Source organism: Homo sapiens, chromosome 5 (assembly GCF_000001405.40).
Source record: "Homo sapiens chromosome 5, GRCh38.p14 Primary Assembly".
NCBI lineage: Eukaryota > Metazoa > Chordata > Mammalia > Primates > Hominidae > Homo > Homo sapiens.
In genome coordinates, this window is record NC_000005.10 from 94,158,824 (window position 1) to 94,181,979 (window position 23,156).

General features: G+C 35.5%; 1 protein-coding gene and 1 long non-coding RNA gene across 7 annotated transcripts in view; one reads left to right on the forward strand and one right to left on the reverse strand.

Moving 5' to 3' along the window:
• The window catches only part of LOC105379087 (uncharacterized), a 140,268-nt gene that overhangs the window by 47,232 nt on the left and 69,880 nt on the right, over positions 1-23,156 (forward strand). The window lies entirely within an intron of this gene.
• KIAA0825 overlaps positions 1-23,156 on the reverse strand; it is a 467,754-nt gene that overhangs the window by 7,973 nt on the left and 436,625 nt on the right. The window lies entirely within an intron of this gene.

Below are 23,156 nucleotides of genomic sequence, written 5' to 3' on the forward strand. Positions count from 1 at the left end.
TTGGAATGAGGTAGAAGAGATTAAACACACATAAAACATAAAATAATGCCTCGTTTATAGCAAGCACTCAACAAGTGATAACTATTATGATGATGATTATTATTATTTGGCATATTGGTTAAGGTTGCAAGTAGGAGAAGTCCTGGGTGTGGTCAGTTACACAAATAGGGGATAATTGTCCTCATCTAATAAGAATGCAGAGGTGGGTGATTGCTGGCATAGGTTAAGTAGTTTAACAACAGCAGGGCTGATGACTCTGTGGTTCTCTTGTCCTTTACCTCATGGTCCCAATACAGTTGTTGCAGCTTCAGCCTTCCTGTCCTCGTGCTGAGGCAGGAGGAAAGAGTATGGCTCCACCTGTCTTGTTTTATCGGGATAATAAAACCTCTCCCAGATTCCTCCCAGTAGACATGGGAGCCATCCTGTCTAGGCTTGAATCCTGACTCTGCCACTTACTAGCTGTGTGATATTGAACATATTTCTTAATCTCTCTGTGCATCAGTTCTCTTATATGCAACATAGGGGGTGCTAGTGGTATACATCTCAATGCATTGTTGTAAATAGTGGATGAGCTATAAATTTAAGTCCTTCATAGAACGTTACTCTTATTTTGTAAGATTCTACTTGTGTCAAGTGGTTTCCTCAGAGCTCCTACCTTGATGTGCTTTCTCACGTTCTGTGTCTTTCACATTGTTTTATCTGGTAAATTATCTTTTCTATCAATCAATCAATAATATAATATTGCAATAAATACATTCCAATAAATAAATATTGCATATATGTATATATGTATATGTATATGATCGTGTTGTCATTCCCTCTTGTTTTTCATGAGGGAAATGTTTCATGCTAGTCTACTACTCTGTTCACCCTAGCATGGCCAAGGTTGTTTTTGTTTTCCTATAATCACTTTGCTGTATTTTTCAAACACAGACTGTAATAATGGCATTTGATCATATTTTTGGTATTTCTCCTGCGATAACCAATAAAATACTTGAATATAAAAATGTAACTTAAGCCTCCTGTTTAATGTTATTATGAAACATTTATGTAGCACTTTATATTTACAAAGTGCTTTACAATTATTTATTAGTTAATTGTAGTGTTAAACAACATTAGTCATCTGGCCAAATAAATGATTTCAAATTGTTCTACCAATATATAGCTGAGGAGTGAAGAGTAAAGTCATATTGGATTTTATTCAAGAAAAATCCTTGTTGTCTGTCTCTCCTCCACATTGCACAGTGCAGACTGGTTTTTCAGAGGGAGGTTCAAATCAGAGGGGAAAGTAATGTCTCTGTTACCTTCTTTCTGCTGTTCTGTACATGTGAGCTTTTCTCAGGGTCAGTCCTAGACCATCTTCTCTTCTCCCTTGGAAAGCCCCACATATCCAGTTGTTTTCTCACATCTGTAATTCAGCTCTGTCCCAAGCTGTATGTAATTCAGCATCTTTAAACTTTGTTTTTGTCCTAAGTTCTCTCAATTCAATTCTTGATGGCCATTTTTACTCACACTCCAATTATATCAATATTAAATATATATACTGTATTCATATATGTACATATATGAATACAGTAATATATGTATACAGTATACATATGTATACAGTATATATGTATATAGTACATTTCTGTATATATCTGCATATCTGTATATAGTACATATCTGTATACTGTATATATACACATATATGCATCAGTATATATAATATACATACATATATGTATGTTAAGTATAAATACTGTATGTGTATATATTAAATATATACTGTATGTATGTATATTTAATATATACATATTAAATATATACTGTATGTGTGTATATTAAATATATACTGTATGTATGTATATTTACTATATACATGTATGTATATTTAATATATAATATATGTCTGTATATTTAAATTATTCAAACTGACCATTACCCCCTTCTCCCTCAATAACACAGAGTCCAAACAGTGAAGAGTAAAGTCATATTGGATTTTATTCTTCAAGAAAAATCCTTGTTGTCTGTCTCTCCACATTGTACAGTGCAGACTGGTTTTTCAGAGGGAGGTTCAAATCAGAGGGGAAAGTAATGTCTCTGTTTCCTTCTTTCTGCTGTTCTGTACATGTGAGCTTTTCTCAGGATCAGTCCTAGACCATCTTCTCTTCTCCCTTGGAAAGCCCCACATATCCAATTGTTGTTCACAAAGTATTTTATGCCACGACTCCCAATCTTGTTCACACAGTCTGTCACCAGTTAAGAGACAACTTACTCTGCAAACATTCTCACATTCATGCATACCCCACTGCCATTAGTCCACAGGTACACATGATTTCAGTGTCTGGACAGTGCGATAATCTCCAGATATCCAGATCCAAAGACTCACGCTACTGCTACATCAAACCAGCAATGACTGCCCTGCCTAGAGAGTTTAAAGTCTTTATTGTTCTAGCTTGGTAGCAGCAGTTCTGTTTAGCTGCTACTACCTCCCCTAGGGAGAAAATTATTTTCCTTATTTTCTCACGCATTGTGTTTTCCCAGTTGTGTTTGCACTTCTACTTTTGCTGTTCCACCCACATGAAATGCCTTTCCACCTACCCCAAACCTGCTCATCCTTCTTCAGACCCAGTCTACAGCCCACCTTTTTCATGGAGAACTTCCCAACTACCTAAGACTAATGTGTGATCATCCTTTTCCTTTGAGTCCTATAGTATCTAATGTCTGTGCTTATGGATATTAGGTCAATTTTGGTCAATTAACCACATACTGCTTTGTTACATCTTTTCTATTACTTTCTTGAGCTGTTATTTCATTGTTGCATTAAATTTTTTTTCACATGTATCTTTTCATCTATACTTGCAGTTTGTTGAAGAAGACTTCGTTATCTGTAGCTTTTGTTTCAAATATTTTATTTGAAATAACATATTTTCTTTTTCAAATAGAAAAGAGATGGATTTATTTTTATGAGCCTCAGGAATGTTTTTGAACATATTTATCAACTATTAACAGTTTTCTCTTATAATATGACAAATGCAAAAACAAACACACAGAAATTGACCTTTTCACATTCATGTCATCTTTGTTATCATTTGCTTTTAATAAACATGGCAGAGTGAGGATATTTTAAATGCTGCTGCTCAAGTTATGTTGTTAGAAGCAAGAAAATGCCACCCAAGCTGAGGCCACTTAATTCAGCTTTTAGTAAGCATTGGAAAGTGTAGGAAGAGTGGATTCTTCTGTTCTTGATTCAGCCTCTAAATGACACCAGTATGGCTTGCCCTGCATACAATCTCTGCTTCGTCTTATTTCTCAGCATTTACATCCTTCTTAACTTGATACTTTTAAAGAATCTATAGGTTACTTATCATTTCCAGAGATATAAATGATAAGGATAGAGAAGGGTAGGACACAGGACATCTGGAATAGATGGTTACTTTTCTATGAAAACTTTCTCCAGGGAACGCAATTGGAAGCAAATTCAGAAAGTATTTGGTTATGATTTTTTTTTAGAATCATGGTCTCACTCTGTTGCCCAGGCTGGAGTGCAGTGGCATGATCATAGTTCATTATAGCCTCAAACTGCTGGGTTCCAGCGATTGTCCTGCCTCAGCCTCCCAGGTAGCTAGGACTACAGGTGTGCACCACCGTGGCCACCTATTTTTTTTTTAAGCATTTTTCTGTAGAGAAGAGGTCTCACTTTGTTGCCCAGGCTGGCCTCAAGCAATCCTCCTGCCTTGGCATCCCAAAGCATTGGGATTATAAGTGTCAGCTACCATTCCTGGTCTGGTTATGCTATTTAATGATCACAGAATAATAACATTACTTGGCTCTCCATGATTCAGAGAAATTGCAGATAGATGTCATGTTATTTCTTCTCCCAAACAAAAAAACAAACCTGTTCTGTCCCCTACTCAAGTGCTTCCCACCCCTTACAATGTACAAATATCTTAGTTTGGCTCAAGTAGCATATTTCAAATAACTAATAGTTTAGTGTTTTGTACACTGTAATCTGTACCTTTTAAGCACTGGCAAGATATCTGTTGATTGGTATGTGTTAGAAGTTCAAGTGTTACTATGTTATTCTTGGGTGGAATGAAGAAATAATAACTTTTCACTACCAGTATTGAGTAGTAGCTGATATCTCAAAAGGTATTATTTGTCAATTTTATGAATGATGAATATGATGGCTCTTAGAGCATTAAAATCAATTTACCCATCCTTAGTTTTTGTATCACTATTTGTTTCTTAAAGTCTAAAATTCAGTGACCTTACCAAAAGGCAACAACTTCCTGCAAGTTCATTTATTTACTAACTATACTCACAACCTTTTTAAAAATGAGATAGTGGTATAAAGAAAAAAGATATTCAGTAATTTCAGTTATTTGGTACCTGACTAGTATTTTTGACCAATGTAAAAAGGCTTTAAACAAACTTTGCTTAGCAAAGTACTTAATTTAGGTCACATATCACACTGGAATGAGACCTTTTGTAGGTCACTATTTAAACATTTAATTTCTGGTGATGTGACACCAAAAACTAAATGTTTAATTTAATTTGATTGATCCCAATAACCTTTTCCTTCTTCCGACTTTCTTTACCACCACTTTTTTCTTTAGTATGTAACTTTATATCATCATCTCACTTGGGTCTCTGGTTGTTGATTGCCTTGCTTCTTCTATCAGTTTAGGAGCTCCTCAAAGGCATAGAGTAGAACTATCAAAAAAGGGCTGTCATTTTAATTATCATAACCAGCTTTGATGTAAAGAGGATGTTATTATAGTTAATTCTGAGAAACTGTATAAATCAGCAAAGCCCTCTTAATTTAGTCATCAGTAAAATATAACCATTCACGTTTCCATTCTGGTTAATGTAATTAACTGAGTATAACAATATTTAGGTCCTCAATTTTTAAGGGATCAAAATACATAATACTAACTAAATCAATTTAAATTTATCTTTCATGACTCAGACAACACTTTCAGATTATACCATTTCTTAAAATATGGTGTTGTATATATAGAATAAATAGAAGACTGACCCAAATGAGCATAAACTCTGGGAAACTGTCTCAATAAATGGTAATGGTAGGAAATTAATTGTAATGGACTCTTGTTATAAGAATGAAATTAGAAGGCCTTAAAAATTACTTGTTATATTGAACTTTAGCATGTATAGCTTATGTTTTGAGAGATCAACCTTAGTTTGTATTCTATTTAATATGTATCACAATGAGTCACATTTTAGAACAGAGTTTTGCCATATGTAATTAACTTGCTTATTTATCTAGCAAACATTTGAGAGCCTGCTGGGTTTAAAACATTGAGCTAATCTAGATTCAGTGCAATCCCTATCAAAATACCAATGACATTCCTTATAGAAATAAAACAAAACAATCCTAAAGTTTATATGGAACCACAAAAGAGCCAAAATAGCCAAAACAATCCTACACAAAAAGAACAAAACTGGAGGAATCATATTATCTGACTTCAAATTATATTACAGAGGTATAGTAACCAAAACAGTATGGTATTAGCATAAAAAAGACACATAGACTAATGGAACAGAATAGAGAACTCAGAAACAATCCACACACCTACAGTGAACTTATTTTTTTTTTTTTTTAGACAGAGTCTCACTCTGTTGCCCAGGCTGGAGTGCAGTGGAGCGATCTTGGCTCACTGCAACCTCTGCCTCCCAGGTTCAAGTGATTCTCCTGCCTTAGTTTCCTGAGTAGCTGGGACTACAGACGCGTGCCACCACGTCCGGCTAATTTTTTGTATTTTTAGTAGAGATGGGGTTTCACCGTGTTAGCCAGGATGGTCTTCATCTCCTGACCTCGTGATCTGCCTGCCTCAGCCTCCCAAAGTGCTGGGATTACAGGTGTGAGCCACACGTGCCCGGCCTTAGTGAACTCATTTTTAACAAAGGTTCTAAGAACATGCACTGGGGAAAAGACAGTCTCTTCAATAAATGGTGCTGGGAAAACTGGATATTCATATACAGAAGAATGAAACTAGACCCCCATCTCTCGCCATATAAAAAAATCAAATCAAAATGGATTAAAGACATAAAATATAAGACCTCAAGCTATGAAACTACTACAAGAAAACATTGGGGAAAATCTCCAGGACATTAGTCTGGCTAAAGATTTCTTGAACAATACCCCACAAGCACAGGCAACCAAAGCGAAAATTGACAAATGGGATCAAAACAAGTTAAAAAGCTTCTGGACAGCAAAGGATACAATCAACAAAGCAAAGAGACAACCCACAGAATGGGAGAAAATATTTGCACACTACTCTTCTGAAAAGGGATTAATAATCAGAATATATAAGGAGTTCAAACAACTCTACAGAAAAAAAGTCTAATAATCTGATCAAAAGATGGAAAAGATTTGAATAGAAATTTTTCAAAAGACATACCAATGGCAAACAGGTATATGAAAAGGTGCTCAGCATCATTGATCATTAGAGAAATGCAAATCAAAATTACAATGAGATATCATCTCATGCCAGTTAAAATGGCTTATATCCCAAAGACAGGCAATAACAAATGCTGGCGAGGATATAGAGAAAAGGGAACCCTTGTACACTGTTAGTGGGGGTGTAAATTAATATAACCCCTAAGGAAAACAGTTGGAGGTTCCTCAAAAAACTAAAAATAGAGCTACCATATGATCCAGCAATCCCACTGCTGGGTATATACCCAAAGGAAAGGAAATCAGCATATCAAAGAGATATCTATACTCCTATGTTCATTGCAGCACTGCTTACAAAGATTTGGAAGCAACTTAAGCGTCCAACAATAGATAAATGGATAAAGAAAATGTGGTACATATACACAATGGAGTAATATTTGACCATAAAAAAGAATGAGATCCTGTCATTTGCAACAGCACGGATGGAACTGGAGATCATTATGTTAAGTGAAATAAGCCAGGCACGGAAAGACAAACATCACATGTTCTCACTTATTTGTGGTATCTAAAAATCAAAACAATTGAACTCATGGACATAGAGAGTAGAAAGATGGTTACCAGAGGCTGGGAAGAGTAGTGAGGGGCTGAGGGTGAGGTGGGTATAGTTAATGGGTACAAAAACTAGTTAGAAACAATGAATAAGACCTACTATTTGATAGCACAATATTGTGACTATAGTTTATAAAACCTTAATTGTACATTTTAAAATAACTAAGAGTGTAATTGGATTGTTTGTAACTCAAAGGATAAATGCTTGAGGGAATGGATACCAATTCCCCATGATGTGCTTATTTCACATTACATGCCTGTATCATAACATCTCATGTACCCCATAAATATATACACCTATGTAGCCACAAAAATTAAAAAACAAAATAAAACAAAACGAAACAAAAAACCACTGTGCTAGGCAACAGTAGTGAGAAGAGCTGAATATGGTTTTGTCCTCAGGGAGATCATTCAGACAGAGAGCGTTCATTATATGGACTGAACTAAATAATTATTCTAAATCCATATTCAAAATCCTTTAAAGATTGTGTACAGTATTTCAGTTTAGTATGAAATGTCAGTGGTAATAAAAGGCATCAGTGCTGTTTTCTTAGGCTTCATTTTAGTAATTTGTTGGCAGGAAATACGTAATTCAGGTATTTCTTCCTTGCCTCATGAAGCAATCTGGGGGTAGCCTTAGGAAATAATTCATGTCCTTCCTCTTGGTTGTTTTTTTTTTTTTTTTTTTTTGAGATGGAATCTCGCTCTGTCACCCAGTCTGGAGTGCAGTGGCATGATCTCGGCTCACTGCAAACTCCGCCTCCCGGGTTCACGCCATTCTCCTGCCTCAGCCTCCTGAGTAGCTGGGATTACAGGCACGCACCACCATGCCCAGCTAATTTTTGTATTTTTAGTAGAGACGGGGTTTCACCATGTTGGCCAGGCTGGTCTTGAACTCCTAACCTCAGGTGATCCACCTGCCTCAGCCTCCCAAAGTGCTCATGTCCTTCTTGACTCATTGGAAAGGCAGCAACATTAATGACAGAAAGCAGTATAACTTTTTTTGAGTAATAAAATCATTATTAAATTATATGGTAAGATTGGAAACTATAGAATATGATGTTCTATAGTCCCAAAGCAAAAGCCTTAGAGAAGGGACAGATATAAAACTATCCTGTATTTGAGAATAACGTTATGAGTATTATGATTCAGGAATAGTAGTGGGAAATCCATTACAAACCAGAATATTCATCTTGAATTTAAATGGCACAATTTTTTAGTAACTCCATTACACCCCCCTCCTCACCCCAAGAAAAACCATAGGATTAACGTCAGTTTCTTCCCTTGAAGACAGGTAATCGGATGAGACCTACCCTCTTTCTGATACGTTCTCCGGATGATGAAAATCCACAAAAGCTTTTGCCTAATGTTTTAAAACCCATGTTTTAAGAAATATGCATAGTTTCAGTCCATCCCCTTTAGCATACGTTAGCAGAAATTGAGAAATCAACATTGTTCTTTTTAGGTAACTCGAAAGTTGATTTATCTTCTCAAAAATAGAGTTGTTTAAAATTTCTGTATAGGTTGTAATTTTCAACACTTTAATAGTTTTGTTTTCCTCTGAACTTTGTACTGAATCTCTAAAGTAGTTAAATAGCAGGGGTTTTATAAGGGAGTTACAAGGCCTTACATGTTTTCAGTAGCAGCTTTTGGGAATAAATGGATGGCAAAAATCTCACTTTGCTAAGAGATCAGAGAGATCTTTACAACCTTATTTCTACTTCACTTTAGTTATTTCCTCAAGCTAATTAAGGTGTATTAGTTTTGGGGAAACTCCAGTAGGAAAAAGGAAAATGTTAATTTTCCTTAAGTAGGTAAAAGGAAATATACCCACACTAAAAGGTCAAATAAAAGTTAAGAATATAATTTATTTGTTCTACTTTATTTTCAAATTTAATGATAGATTGGGCTATTCTTTTTTAATATTACAGAGGTTCCATGAAATGCAAAGGACATTAAATTTTTATAGAATACTATAAATGGTAGTCACATCTTTGCCTTTAGAAGTTACAAAACATAGGCTTTTCTTGAAATAGGCAGAGTAAGTTATTCCCACTCCCCACAATTTATTTTGACCTAATTGAATGCTTTAATATCCAGAAAATGAAGTTTATTTGTTTATTTTACAAAAATATCTCACAATTTGCTACTATGGTACACTACTTAGAACCCCCGAAACCCAATTTAATATATATATAATAAAATATATAGAAATACATAGAAATAAATATAATAGATATAAACATACATAAATGTATATTTTTAAAATACATAGAAATACATATAATTATGTCCAAACTCAATACTATTATATATCAACACTTGCCATCATGAATTAGTAATTTGTTTGCTTGCTTAAGCCAAGATTTTGTTATATGATTATGATAACTAGCTATATATGCAGTTTATCCAGCTATTTCTGCAAGAATTCAAATGACTGTTCTTTTGCAAGGTTGTTGATTTCTTGAGCTACTACTAATGCAGTAAAAGGAATCTTTCCAAGCTCAGGAACAAGCAACAAAACCCTTAATCTGAATTTATAGCCTTCGGAGACAATCTGCAGGACAACTTAACTGTCCAAGCAATTTATTTTAATTAATATGATTTGTTCTATATATTTAAGTAGGAGAGTTATATACCAACAAATGAGACAAATAAGAATGCTAACAGTAACATTTTAAATAGTTATGGCTTAGGGAAAACATAAACGGAAGCACAGCCATCAGTAGTAATGGAATCTGAACCTTTTCTGTTATCAGTAAATCATCCACATCTCCTTAGAGACTTCATTTCCACCAGTGGATCTTAAACAATTTTAAGAGTTTAGATAGAAGGCCAAGGTCATACTATTTGTCCAGCATTTAGTGGTGAGGTAGAAAAATGTCCCTTACTAAGAGAAGTGTCAGGACTACTATATACTGCCAGAACCATATTGCTGATTTTCTTCAGAGTAAGGTATAATTTAATGAATCAAAAGAAAAGGTGTATTTTTTTCCTGTTAAACTTGATATATCTGGAAATTTTCATGGACTATGCTCTATAGACACTTGGTGTTTATTCCATATATTTAACTGTTACATTAAAAGATACTTAAACTGTGTCAAGCAATACTGCTCTTGCTCTAAAAATGATAAAAACATTTCCTTTTTCATCAAGAAAAGGATTACATATTTACAAATCTAAAGTTATCAAAAATTGAGGGTGATTTTACTAGCCTGTGTAAAGACAAAACCAATTGTTTAGACAACACAGTTGTCACAAGGCCAACCATGCACTAACCTCTTCTGGAAATGAGAATCTGAATAAAAGTATCATTTAGAAACACACAGTCTATTAGCTAAAGAGCCTGTTTACAATTCTGTCATTCCAACTAACAGTAATATTGTGTTTAGAAAAGGATTTGAAATATAGGCCTGACTCATATTTTGATTGAAATTGACTAAGAAGTTAAAAAATTTAAAACTGGCAGGGTGCAATGGTTCATGCCTGTAATCTCAGCACTTTGGGAGGCTGAGGCAGGTGGATCACCTGAGGTCAGGAGTTCAAGACCAGTCTGGGCAACATGGTGAAACCCTGTCTCTACTGAAAATACAAAAATTAGCGGGGCATGGTGGCACATGCCTGTAATCCCAGCATTTTGGGAGGCTGAGGCGGGAGAATCACTTGAGCCCGGGAGGCAGAGGTTACAGTGAGCCAAGGTGGTGCCACTGCAGTCCAGCCTGGGTGACAGAAAAAAAAAAAAAAAAAAAGATCTAGAATTCAGGAGAAAATGACAACTTTGTATGGTTGATGGTGCCTTTACTCTTCATCGAGTCACTGCCTATATGTTCATATTCATAAAGATCCCAAAGTTCATTCCTTTCATTCTTTCAGGAATTCAATTATTTACTGAATGACTATGTTCGGAGCACTGTAGGGGTTTGGAGCATGTAATAATATCAGTAATAACAGCTAATACTTATTTAGCAACTGCAATTTCTTTGAGGCTCTATTCTGAGTACTTTGCATATATCAATTCATTTAGCCCTCACAATTTTATGAGATGGGTTAACTATTATTATTGCTACAGACCAGGAATTACCCAAAGTCCCTGGTCAGTGGTGCAGCCAGGATTCTAACCCAAGCAACTGGATCCAGAGCTAATGCTCTTACCCATAAGGGTACATCTCCCACGTAAGCTATCTCTCTCTAAGTCTCTATGTTTCATATAACAATAGTGATTGGGAGGTCGAGGCGGGCAGTTCACGAGGTCAGGAGATCAAGACCATCCTGGCTAACACGGTGAAACCCCGTCTCTACTAAAAATACAAAAAATAAGCCAGGCATGGTGGCGGGTGCCTGTAGTCCCAGCTACTCTGCAGGCTGAGGCAGGAGAATGGCGTGAACCCAGGAGACAGAGCTTGCAGTGAGCCAAGATCACGCCACTGCACTGCAGCCTGGGCGACAGAGCAAGACTCCATCTCAAAAAAACAAAACAAAACAAAACAAAACAAAACGAAAACAATAGTGAAACATGAACTACTCTCATGGAGTTTCAGATCCACTTGAGAAAACATTACTTTCACAGTGGTGGCAGATTAGGAATGTCTCAAAATACTTATTATCATTTTTGCTACTTGGGGATGATGAGACCCATTCTTTTATTCCTTTCCTTACTCCTGGGGGAACTAACGAGAAGTACTGCTTTCTCCAAGTTCATGCTGCATCAAGGAGGTTGAGAGGCAAGTCTGGCTCAGTGGCATCAAGTAGGCAGGTAATGTGGCTAGAAGGCTGACAGTCTGCTGTACATATAGACTGTAACTATTCCCAAGATAGGCCAAAAGGAAGAAAGCTGGAACAAAATGAAAATGAAAGCTTCATTCAAAGCTTACAAAACACTACAATGTTGGGGGATTATGGGGAGCTGAGGCTTAGAGAAGTAAGTAACTTCCAATGTCACAAAACAGGCCCTGGATCACAAAGTGATCTTTCTGCCTATCATACCAGCCCCAAGGAATTGGGAGAAGAGCACTCTTGAACAAAAGAACTGAATTTTACATGGAATGTGTGCTCATCACATCATTCATGGAATATGACATGCTTTCATCTCACTATGTTTTGATGGGTCAGAAAGGTCAAATGATTTGGTAAACAGAAGCATTAAATTACACAAAAAGAGTGGCCTAAGGAGCCAAAAATCCCTCTGAATCATTCAGAACCAGCACCAACATCAGTGGACTGAAATTTTGATAGGAGTGTGATATGGTTTGCTGTGTCCCCACCCAAATCTCATCTTGAATTGTAACTCCCACAATTCCCACATGTCATGGGAGGAACTTGGTGGGAGGTGATTGAATTATGGGTGCAGGTCTTTCCTATGCTGTTCTCATGATAGTGAATGAGTCTCACACAAGGTCAGATGGTTTTAAAAACAGGAGGTTCCCTGTACAAGCTCTTCTTTTGCCTGCCGCCATCCTTGTAAGACGTGACTTGCTCCTTCCACCATGATTGTGAGGCCTCCCCAGCCTTGTGGAACTGTAAGTCCATTAAACCTCTTTTTCTTCCCAGTCTCGGGTATGTCTTTATCAGCTGTGTGGAAACAGACTAATACAGAGTGCAAATGCCTTTGAATTTTTGTAAAATAACTTTGATATCAACTTGAATGTAAGTTGTATGAGGGTAGAGACCTTGTTTATCATGTTTACCACATTGTCCTTAGTGCCTGGAACATTGTTTGGCAAGTAATAGGTACCCAATAAATATTTGTTAAGTGAATGACCCATCTTCAGGAAAATGTCAGCAGAATTAACTTTTTTTCAAAACAAAATCTAGCTTTAAAAACTTTCTTGACCCATGCATGTATTTTACTAATTATGGAGGTATTTAATTAATACCTCCATAATTAAGATTGTTTAATTAAGATTGTTTGCCATTATTGTAATTCTCTTCTTTCTGGACTCTTTCCTGTTCCCTTGAAGGTGGTAGTGGCAATGTGATGATTTACTGTAGCCAATGAAAATAAGTGAAAGAAATGCACTTATCCCCCTTTTTTGGTAGAAGATACTGAGAGAGTGCAGATAAAACAGAAGGATCCTTAAGACATCCTAGTATATGCAGAGAAAAAAACAAAAAAGATACATGATAATGCGCCTCAATGTATTTGAACATTGAATGTCTCATTAGGATTCCACGCTGAAGATAGTGACATGAGATTCTCAGACGTTGGGGAAATATTTTGCTTTAGAGTTAAAAGACATATAATAATAAAACAGATGGAAATAATTATATGAAGATAACAATTATAGAATTAAAGTAAATTAGAGTGGAAAAAGTATTAGAGATCTTCTGTGTACTCCTCCATTTTACAGAAACTGATGCCCAGAGAGTACAGTTTGTCACTGGTCAATCTTGGACTTGAACTCAGGACCCTTGATTACTTGTCTGAAATTCATTATAACCATGTCATACTAGCTGCTATAATAGACTGATGGCCCCAGGGCTTAGGGTCAGAACTATCAGTTTTGCAAAATGTATGGATAGTTGCTTATATAGTGTAACTTCAGAATGCAGAGCTATTGACTGGCTACATACAGATTGACTGCAGAGAGATCTCATAGACTAAGTATTAGTTATTCATTACTGCTTAACAGATTATCCCCTAAATACTCAGCAGCTTAAAACAATAAACATTTATTGATTCACACAGTTTTTGAGTGACTTAGTTGGTTAGTTCTGGCTCACAGTATCTCATATGTTTGTAGTCAAAATGACCCACAGTTTTGTCTGGCAATATATAGAGAGCAAGCTTCTTTAAGTTAGAAGGCTTATCAATATTTAGGTAAATGATTGTTTCTAGAATTTTGTTTGACTCATGATTTTTTTTTTGGCTTTGAACTAACATCTATGGACCTACTATACTTACGGTCTGCTTTTCGTTGCTCAAATGCAATGTGGTAGAAGGTGTATGAAATTTTAGAGCCAGGTTAGATTCACTATGCTGATCTTGAGTAATGTAAATTAACCTCATATTGGCCTCAGTTTTTTCATCTTCAAATAAGGATCATAATACCTAATTTGTAAGGTTATTGTGAAGATTAAGGTAATTTAGGAAAAGATTTGGCAGTGTGCTTGGCACATGAGAGATACCTCATAAATCAGGGTTGGTATTTTACTGTCCCTCATAATACCTTGCTTTCTAGATATGAAGCTATTATTTTTAGTAATAAAGTTAAATTATTGAATAATTTACAGAAAATAACTATTTTAATTTATAAAAATAGATTAAGCAAGTGTGAGACAATTAGCGACACTTCTATATCATGCTCTTTCTGTTACCAGGGCAAATACCATAGGAAACTAGGGAGTGAGAAAAGATGCTGTTACCAGGGCAAATACCATAGGAAACTAGGGAGTGAGAAAAGATGCCTGGCTGTCTTCTCAGGGTTTCTGCTTAATACTTCTCTTAATGTTACAGTTACTATTGCACAATAAAGCCATTGGAAAGGTCACAGTGGGAAGAGTTTGTCTCTACTCCAGGATGTCTGAAAGAGATTCAAAGATTGGGAGACACTCATCTGAGGCATCTTTATTCACATATCTAGTGGGTGATGTTGGCTATCTGAGGGACCCTCAGCTAACATGGTCACCAGGAGAATCTACACTTAGTCTTTCCATATGGCCTGGGCTTCCTCATAACATGGCAGCTCCCCGTTGTTTGGACTTCTGACCTAACAGCTCAGTGTTCCAAGAGCAGTGTCTCAGTTCAGAAGCTGCACTGCTTTTTATGGTCCAGCCTTGAAATTCATATAGTACCACTTCTATAGTATTCTATTGGTTACAAAGGAGTCATCAGCTCTCAGATTCAAGGGGAGGAAAACGAGGCTCCACCTCTTGATGGGGGCATGGCAAGGTTTTAAAATAGTATATGGGTGGGTAGGTGTACTGCTGCCATCATCTTTAGAAAATACAATCCACCACACTTAGAGAAGTGAAGTAGAGACCCTTATGTGGGCAGGGCAAGCCTCAGAACAGGGAAAGCAACATAGAGCTTCCTGGACATGCTTACATACACACCTCTACAAATCATCACAACCTGCTAGTTTTCATTCTGGAGCCTGGACTCTCCAACTGTACTCATTTTATGGCCCTTAGGCAAGCTGTGTTGCCCTTTTCAATAGCTGCATGAAATGTGGAATACATCACGTATCCAGACCTTGTCTCTCTTTCTAAGATACTTCGCTTGATCTCTTTCTTGCTGTTTCAACTTAAAATATTTAACATGAAATCACCACTGCACTGTGGGGCTCCCATAGATAAATTTGAAGTTTTAATAGTTTATCATTTCCACTTTTGAGACTAGTACTCTGTAAGTTAAAAACAAAAACAAAACAAAGCAAAGGCCAACACTTTAACCAATGGAAGTCTAAGCTTTGGAAAAATCCAGAAAAGTAACACCAAGTCCAAGATAAATTGAGACTCTAAGCACATTTTGCTTGCATTCCTTCCTTGTTTCTCATTTAATAAATGTTTTCCAGAACGGAGTTTGCAAATCCAAGTAAATATATATATATATTTAAAATGCTTACTTATTCCCTTTTGGGTTCTGCGTCAATTGTGTACATTTCATAAATATAAACATAAGACATATTTGCTAAGGAATTACATTTGTTGATGTGGCAATCTCATGGCTTAAAGTGTAAAAAATTCATACCTTGTCAATTATGAATTACATTTCCCCATTTATATAGAATATGGAACTTGTTTGAGTACTAGCTAAAAATGTACGTGATACTATTTCAGATGTAAGTATTGCTTTAAAAATATCAAGCTTATCCCCCTTTAAGAGGTCAAACAACATCTGAAAACTATAACCCTTTTAAATAAAAAAAACTCTGTCCTTTGCTAATTTATTCAGCTTTCTTCCTACCACATCCAGTTACCAACCCTATCAGTCCATTCCGTTTGATTTATCTTTTAGTCAGATGAGTGTCACAATAGGAAGGCAGCAAGAATACCCTTTAATACTTATGGATTTTTTTTCAAATTTAAACATCTTCCTTCCTAAGCAGAATTTATACACTGACTCACTCTCACAGCTATCACCCTGGATGCCCTCTTCCTATTTCATTACCATATTGTGGATGAACACATCATTGGTATGGTATTTATCTTGATAGGCAGTGAAAAAAAGTCTTGCCCCTAAAAGCTATGCCATGTTTCTAGCCCTTCTTTATGAGGCATCTTCCAGCAGCACTCTCATTGCAGAATTGCATGGAGCAAATGGTGGCCCATCTCAGATCACTGGTACTTTCCCTGAATGAAATCCTACATATGCTGTCAATTTAATTAGAAATTGGCCTGCTGTTTTGTCTTCCCAATTAGCTCACCCATTATCTCTCATATCCTAAAATCCTATCATTCTCCAGATAATAGGTTATTTCTTCAAACATCCTTGTCTCATTGCTTCCAGATAACTGTCTGTGACCTGTTTCCCCTTTAACTGCTTATAGTCATTTTAACATCTGTCATCACAGCTAAAGGTGTGATTACGTCTAATAATGTTTTATTTTTGCAGTGAGTGCACCACAGTTATTGTCATATACAGAAAATTCTGACTGACAGTTCCAGAGCTTTTTGGCATCAGAGAAAGTCAAGTACTGTGTTACCTCTTTCTATGACTCCCAAGAGAATAATCCAGCACAACTACTCAGTATCTTGGAAGAAGGCCTTATGACTTTGGAGAGCCTTCTTTCTCACCTACACAGCCTTACAGCATTCCCCTGTATTCTCCTGTTCTAAGTTTCTCTCCCTTATTTAAATTCTAACTTCAAATGTAACAGTTGACTAATGTTAAAATTAATTTCCAAAAGAAGTTCATTAATTGATCAAGTTAAAGAATTTCCTTCTATATTTACGTGAATTTAGGTTGAATAAATTTCATATTTTTAGGGAAATATCTAGGAAGCATTAAAAATAACAGTTGACATTGAGATATTTAGTAAACAAAATCATTCTAGTTTCTTCTGTCTTGCCCCCTCCCATCTTATTTGCCATAACCTATAAATTTAGCCAAAATGCAGCAAGTCTAATTCATTTATAAGCAGTTGACATTCAAAGGTTATCCTCATTGATGTCTAAATTTTTATGATGTGTTTCTGCTACTGTATTACAATTCTGAATTCCGTATCAAATTTATTAAATTTTTTTATTGCTAAATCCCCTTGCTGTGGTTTGCTCCTGCCAAGACCCATGTTGAAATTTGATCCCCAATGTGGCAGTGTTGGGGGTAGGGCCTGTTGAGAGGTGTTTGGGTCATGGGGGCAGATCCCTCAAGAAATAGATTAATGCTCTCTTGCAAGGGTGAGTTCTCACTCTCATTAGAATGGATTACTTCCCACAAGAGCAGGTTTTTAAAAAAGAGCCTGGCCTCCCTGGTTTCTCTCTCTTGCTTGCTCTCTCACCATGTGATCTCTTTGCATGTATCCACTTTCTGCTATGAGTGGAAGCAGCATGAGGCCCTCACTGGATGTAGCTGCCCAATCTTAAACCTTCTAGCAAGAAGAATTATGAACTAAAGAAACCTCTTTTCTTTGTAAATTACCCAGGCTCAGGTATTCTGTTGTAACAACAGAAAACAGGTGGAGACACCCCCATCAGTCTAGTAATATGCAATAGAACTGACAGTGTCTATTGTTGATTAATATGCCCAACTTTGTTGTAAAGTCAGTCATTATAAACAAGGTCTTTACTAGCTCTTTTCATTTATAAGCACTAGGAGATACTCAAGAGGGTCTTACCTAAACAATTCAAAATTATCATTAAAAAGCATAAAAAAAATCTGCCATAGACCAATGCTTCTTTCACATTAGCTAGAACAGGAACTATACCCAAAGAGTACTTTGGGAATATAACAGATTAATGACCCAATGGAATAAACACTTGACCAGTAAAAAGTACCAAGTTTGAAAAACTGCTTTTAAGAAGAACAACCTAACCCTGTTTTATACAACAGAAACAGATTCATTACTGCTGAGATATGCTGCATCTCTAATTTCATTTTCCCAAAACTTCAGTATACCTCCATAGAATTCAGGTTAGTTCTCTCAGTAAGTAACTATGACATTACCATTGCTAGTGTTCCTAGAAAGTTCCTATTTAAAAGCACAACAGGGAAATTACTACACAGTATCCCCACCCCGAGCAAACACACAAAAACACCAATGCACACCACAGATAATAAAACATTGGAAAATGATAGGAATAATCAAGAAAATGCTTTATGTGGAAAATTCAGCTGTGGTTTAGATATTAGGTCAACTTTAACCAATGTTACAATATCATTTCATTATTTTTAAAATCTAGAAAAATGTCACCAATCAAATATTATAAAGAAAAATGTTAACCTAATTATAAAATGAAACTAAGCCATTGAGCAATGGAATCCTGGGAAGCATCATTAACTTTAAATTCTATATTACATGGAAGCAGAAAGATTCCAGATAAGTGACTCAGATTGCATACTGTCAAATAGTTCATTTTAACCTGCTCCTAGATTCTGTGGGTCTTTTATGGGTTCTTCTTTTTTTAATAACTATAATTTGTAGTCCATTCCCATTCATTTGCTACTAACCTGGCATTTCCTGAGAGATCTAAAAATTGAAATGAGGAAGTAAAATCACACTTTTCATAGAGAACAGCCACTTCTAAAACCCCCTAAATTCCTCTAAGCTTTGAAATTCCTACTGTTGTGGAATGTATTAATATTGGAGTGGGAAAGTGAAGAAAAATCATAATGCAGGACTGTGGGTATCTACACTTCAAACCAGGAGCCTTAATGCTGCCTGTGGTTGAATGGCTGCGTATTATAATTTGTTAGGCAATGGTAATTAACTAGTCTAGACTCCTTTCAAAAACTACTAAGCTACTAAGTGAGTAAGTCTTATAAGCTATTAAAACATTGTAGAACAGATAACTGAATAAAATATTAGTGTGTAGAAATACATATTTTTGAGTTCCTACTATGAGTCAGCCAATATATTAGGCATAAGGGATAAGACAGTAAATATGACAATTACTGTCCCTTCTCTTATGGAACGTATACCAGTGGCAAAGACAAATTTTGGACAAGTAATCAAATGAATGAATTAATAAATGGCAGTATTGTAAAAGTCAGTATCCAAGTCTTCCATATTTCAATAAGATTTACAGTTTTCTGATCCTGCATATTTTAGTTAGGGTTATTCCTAGAAATTTTATGGTGTGTATGTTGCTGTTATTCATATAAGATTTTCCTATCATCTCCTCTGTTTCTTGCTGGGATATTGATATTTTTTGGTATTTTTCTAGTATTCCATAGCCTTACTAATTTATATTTAAGAGGATTTGACTTGGCATTTTTGGGTTTTCTAAGAAACATTCTCTGCAATTACTAACCTTTTTTCTCTTTTCCTGTCCATCAGTTAGTCCTTTCTATCAGTTATTTCTGATTTGTGTCTTATTGCACTAACCAGAAATTTTAGAATACAGTTAAATAAGGAGGAGATTGGGAATTCTGTCCCCCCTTGATTTTAATGAGAGTTCTGGCTTTACTATTAATATTATATGATGTGATCTGTCTTCTTAGGTATCCTTTTTTATGAGAAGGAAGTCTCCTTCTTCATTTTTTCCCCTTAAGATTTTCTTAGAAATGGGTTCTTTTGACTTCTTAATTTTGATTTCTCTCTCAACTAGCTACAGTATGACTTTAAATAATTTTTTTCAAGAAGGATGTTTGGTGATATAAATTTTGAATTATTGAATAACTGAGAATTCTGCTGCCATCACACACAAACAACATTTAAGAGGGCATAAAATTCTTAGGCTACCAATTTTCTCCTTACAATGCTATAGACAGGTGGGAATGCAAAATAGTGTAGCCACTTTTGGACATGTTTTGGCCATGTATTAAAAAGTTAAATATACACCTACCATATCACCCAGTTATCCTACTCCTAGCTATGTACCTAAAAGAAATGGAAATTTATATTCACATAAAAATATGTGAATGTTTATAAGAGCTTTATTCACAATAACCAGAAATTGTAGACAATCCAGATATCCTTAAGTGATTTCATATCAATGATATGCCATTCAGCCCTAAAAGGGAACAAACTATTGATTTATACAACATGAATTAATTTAAAATACATTTTTCTAAGTGAAAGAAGACAGAATCAAATGGCTACATATTATGTGAATTCATTTTACATGATATTCTTAACAAAGCAAAAGCATAGGCAGGAAAACAGATCTTTGGTTGCCAGGGGTTGAGAATGAGAGGAGAGATTGTCCAAAAAAGGGTAACTCATACTTTTGGAGAGTGATGAAATTGCTCTGCAGAGAAGGCAGTGGTGGACATGTGACTCTACACAGTTGTCAAAACACATAGAACTGTACACACACAGAGTGAACTTTTTTGTAGGAAAACAACCGACAAATCAACCAGGATTTGGAGGAAAAGATAGAATGCAGACTGTGACAAGGAATCTAACTATATTACAATTAAATCACAAAGCAACATTGAAGGGAATGGGGGAAAAGGGAGCTGACTTACAAAACTCTGGAAAGAAGTGTTTTGACTGGATACTTTAAGGCTGAAGAACAAAAGAACTGTGCATAAACACTGTTTGGTTTTGATGTGTGTGTATGCATTAGTTAGTAACCACACATATATTTCCTCACTCTAGTCACTGAAAGAGGCTAGAAGCTACCCCAGTAGCAGTGAACACAGATCTTGGTTTCTAAATTCCTTCTCCAATAAAAGAAACAGGAATATCTGGAGAAATAGCTGATTCTAGGTGCTGGAGAAGGGATAATACAATATGAGCCTGGAGCATCTGAAAGTAAGGAAGTAAAGGAAAAGAAAAAACGATGGGAGCATATTAAAACAGATAGGAGCCACCCAGGAAAAGTTACCAATTGCCAAAGTTGAACAACTTGTGCAACAAAGTAATGATAGCATTGGATTATAACCAAATAATAAAATAAATATACATGAATCCATACTAATATAAATAATAACTGAGTAAATTGGGGAGAAGTGACAATTCTTTCTTATATAATAATCACAATTAATAAATACAAGGAATAAAGGAAATAGAAATCATCATTAAAACACCACACGGTAACAATTGCCACACAATGGATGCAAAATTAGTGGGTAAAAGTTTATGCAAAAATAGGATATTTTTATAATATCAAAGCATCTCCCCCAAAGTACTTAGTAATTATAAAAGAAAAATAATAACTTTACAGTGGAGAATCCTAAAAAATACAAGCTCAACCAAATGATCAAGGGTAACATCACCAGTAATTAGACAAATGGACATTATGTGATCCCTGATACAATAAACTGACAAGGGTGCATCATCTCTGTGGTTTCCCCCTCAATAACACATAACTTTAATCCAATCACGAGAAACCATCTTACAAACCAAAATTGAGGCACATTCTACAAAATAATTTACCAGTATCCTTCAAAAGTGTCAAGATCATGAAAAACAAAGACTCCTGTGCTGTCGTAGATTGGAAGCAACTAGAGATATGACAACTAAATGTAATGTGAGATTTTGGAAAACAAAAGGATGATAATAGAAAATTGGTGATATCTGAAAAAGTTCTGTACTTTAGTTAACAGAATTACCTACAACCAAGGTTAATTTCTTAGTTTTGATAAATATTCTTTGGTTACATAAGATGTTAACATAAGGGGACTTTGGCTGAAGGGTATTTGGGAATCTACATACTATTTTTGCTAAAAATGCTATAGATATGAAACCATCATCCTATGGCATTTCATGTTTCAGAGAAGTTTAAGGTCAGCCTAATTTTTGTCCCTTTTTAGGTAACCTGCTTTATTTTTTATCTGCCTGAAAACTTTAAATCTATTTTCATCTTTCTTGAAATTAACTAAGTCTTACATACTTTTTTTCAGTGTCACAGAGTACTCAAATATTTTTGTCTGGTCCCCATATTAAACATGTTTCAGTGGTTTTTATTTTTTTCAGAGTGATTTTACTTTCTTTTAGGCTGCAGCATATTTGGCCAACCATTATTTGGGCTCTCTGGGTTATTCATCTTCAAAGTAGGACACTGCTATTTAGACCACTTCCACCACTTGTGGTTCATGGAAAACCACTGACAACAGGTTTACTGATACACTGTTTTCAGAGTTGTGAGTTTTTACCATTTTTAGTACTCTCATGGTTATTTTACTGGGTAATTTAAAGAGATTTATTAACAGCTGCTGAGCAGAAGTCATTTTAAATCAGAAGCTACCCTATCCAAAATGTCTACATTTTTGAAATACTAATTTTAGCAATGTCTCCCAAGGTATTTCCATTAAGGAAGAGCATTTGCATTGTGAGCATTATATCTGGAACTCCTATACTTTAGAATCAGAAAAGAGAATGTGAAGTAGCAGTTCATATTTCACAGGATAATTAAAGCAAGAGATTTGGTATTCCTCTACAACAAGAATTACAAAGTTAGGTAGTGGTCTGGAAACCAGTGAAGCTGATTGCAAAATGAATATTTAAAAGCCCCTCTGATTTAATGTGCTCTTGTTTCCATTCCCTTTATTCTTTACAAAGAATCCTCTGTAAATATTGCTTTAAGGATTATCAGGCTTCAATTTTCAAATTCATCCAAAGACCATAATTTAAACCATAATATTGGCTTTACAAATGTAAACAGTGATTGAACCACTTTCCTTTAGCTAATAGGAATGCCAATGAAATTAGAGTCAATTAAATAATTGCTTTATTAACGTAATGTATTACTGCTGTAAGACATGCCATGGCACATCCAGCCGGGAGGATAGCTAGGAGAGAACAGGACTACATCAAGGTAAAGAGAATAAACAGCATATTCTAAAAACTTAGTCCACAGAGAAGAGTAAAACAGCAATTGAAATTTTGATTCATCGATTTCATAGTTTAACTATGGCTGAGGATGGAAAAATCCTAAGAGAGTTTAAAGGTTTTCATTTAATTCAAAGGATACTTAGTGTGGGATAAATTATGTCTTCAGGTTAGGTTTAACTTAGCTTCTCTCCTCTCTCTGCCTTCTGGACACCAGCTGCAGGAAACTGCCTTTGTCCCTGCAGTCTAAACCCTGGTTGGATCTC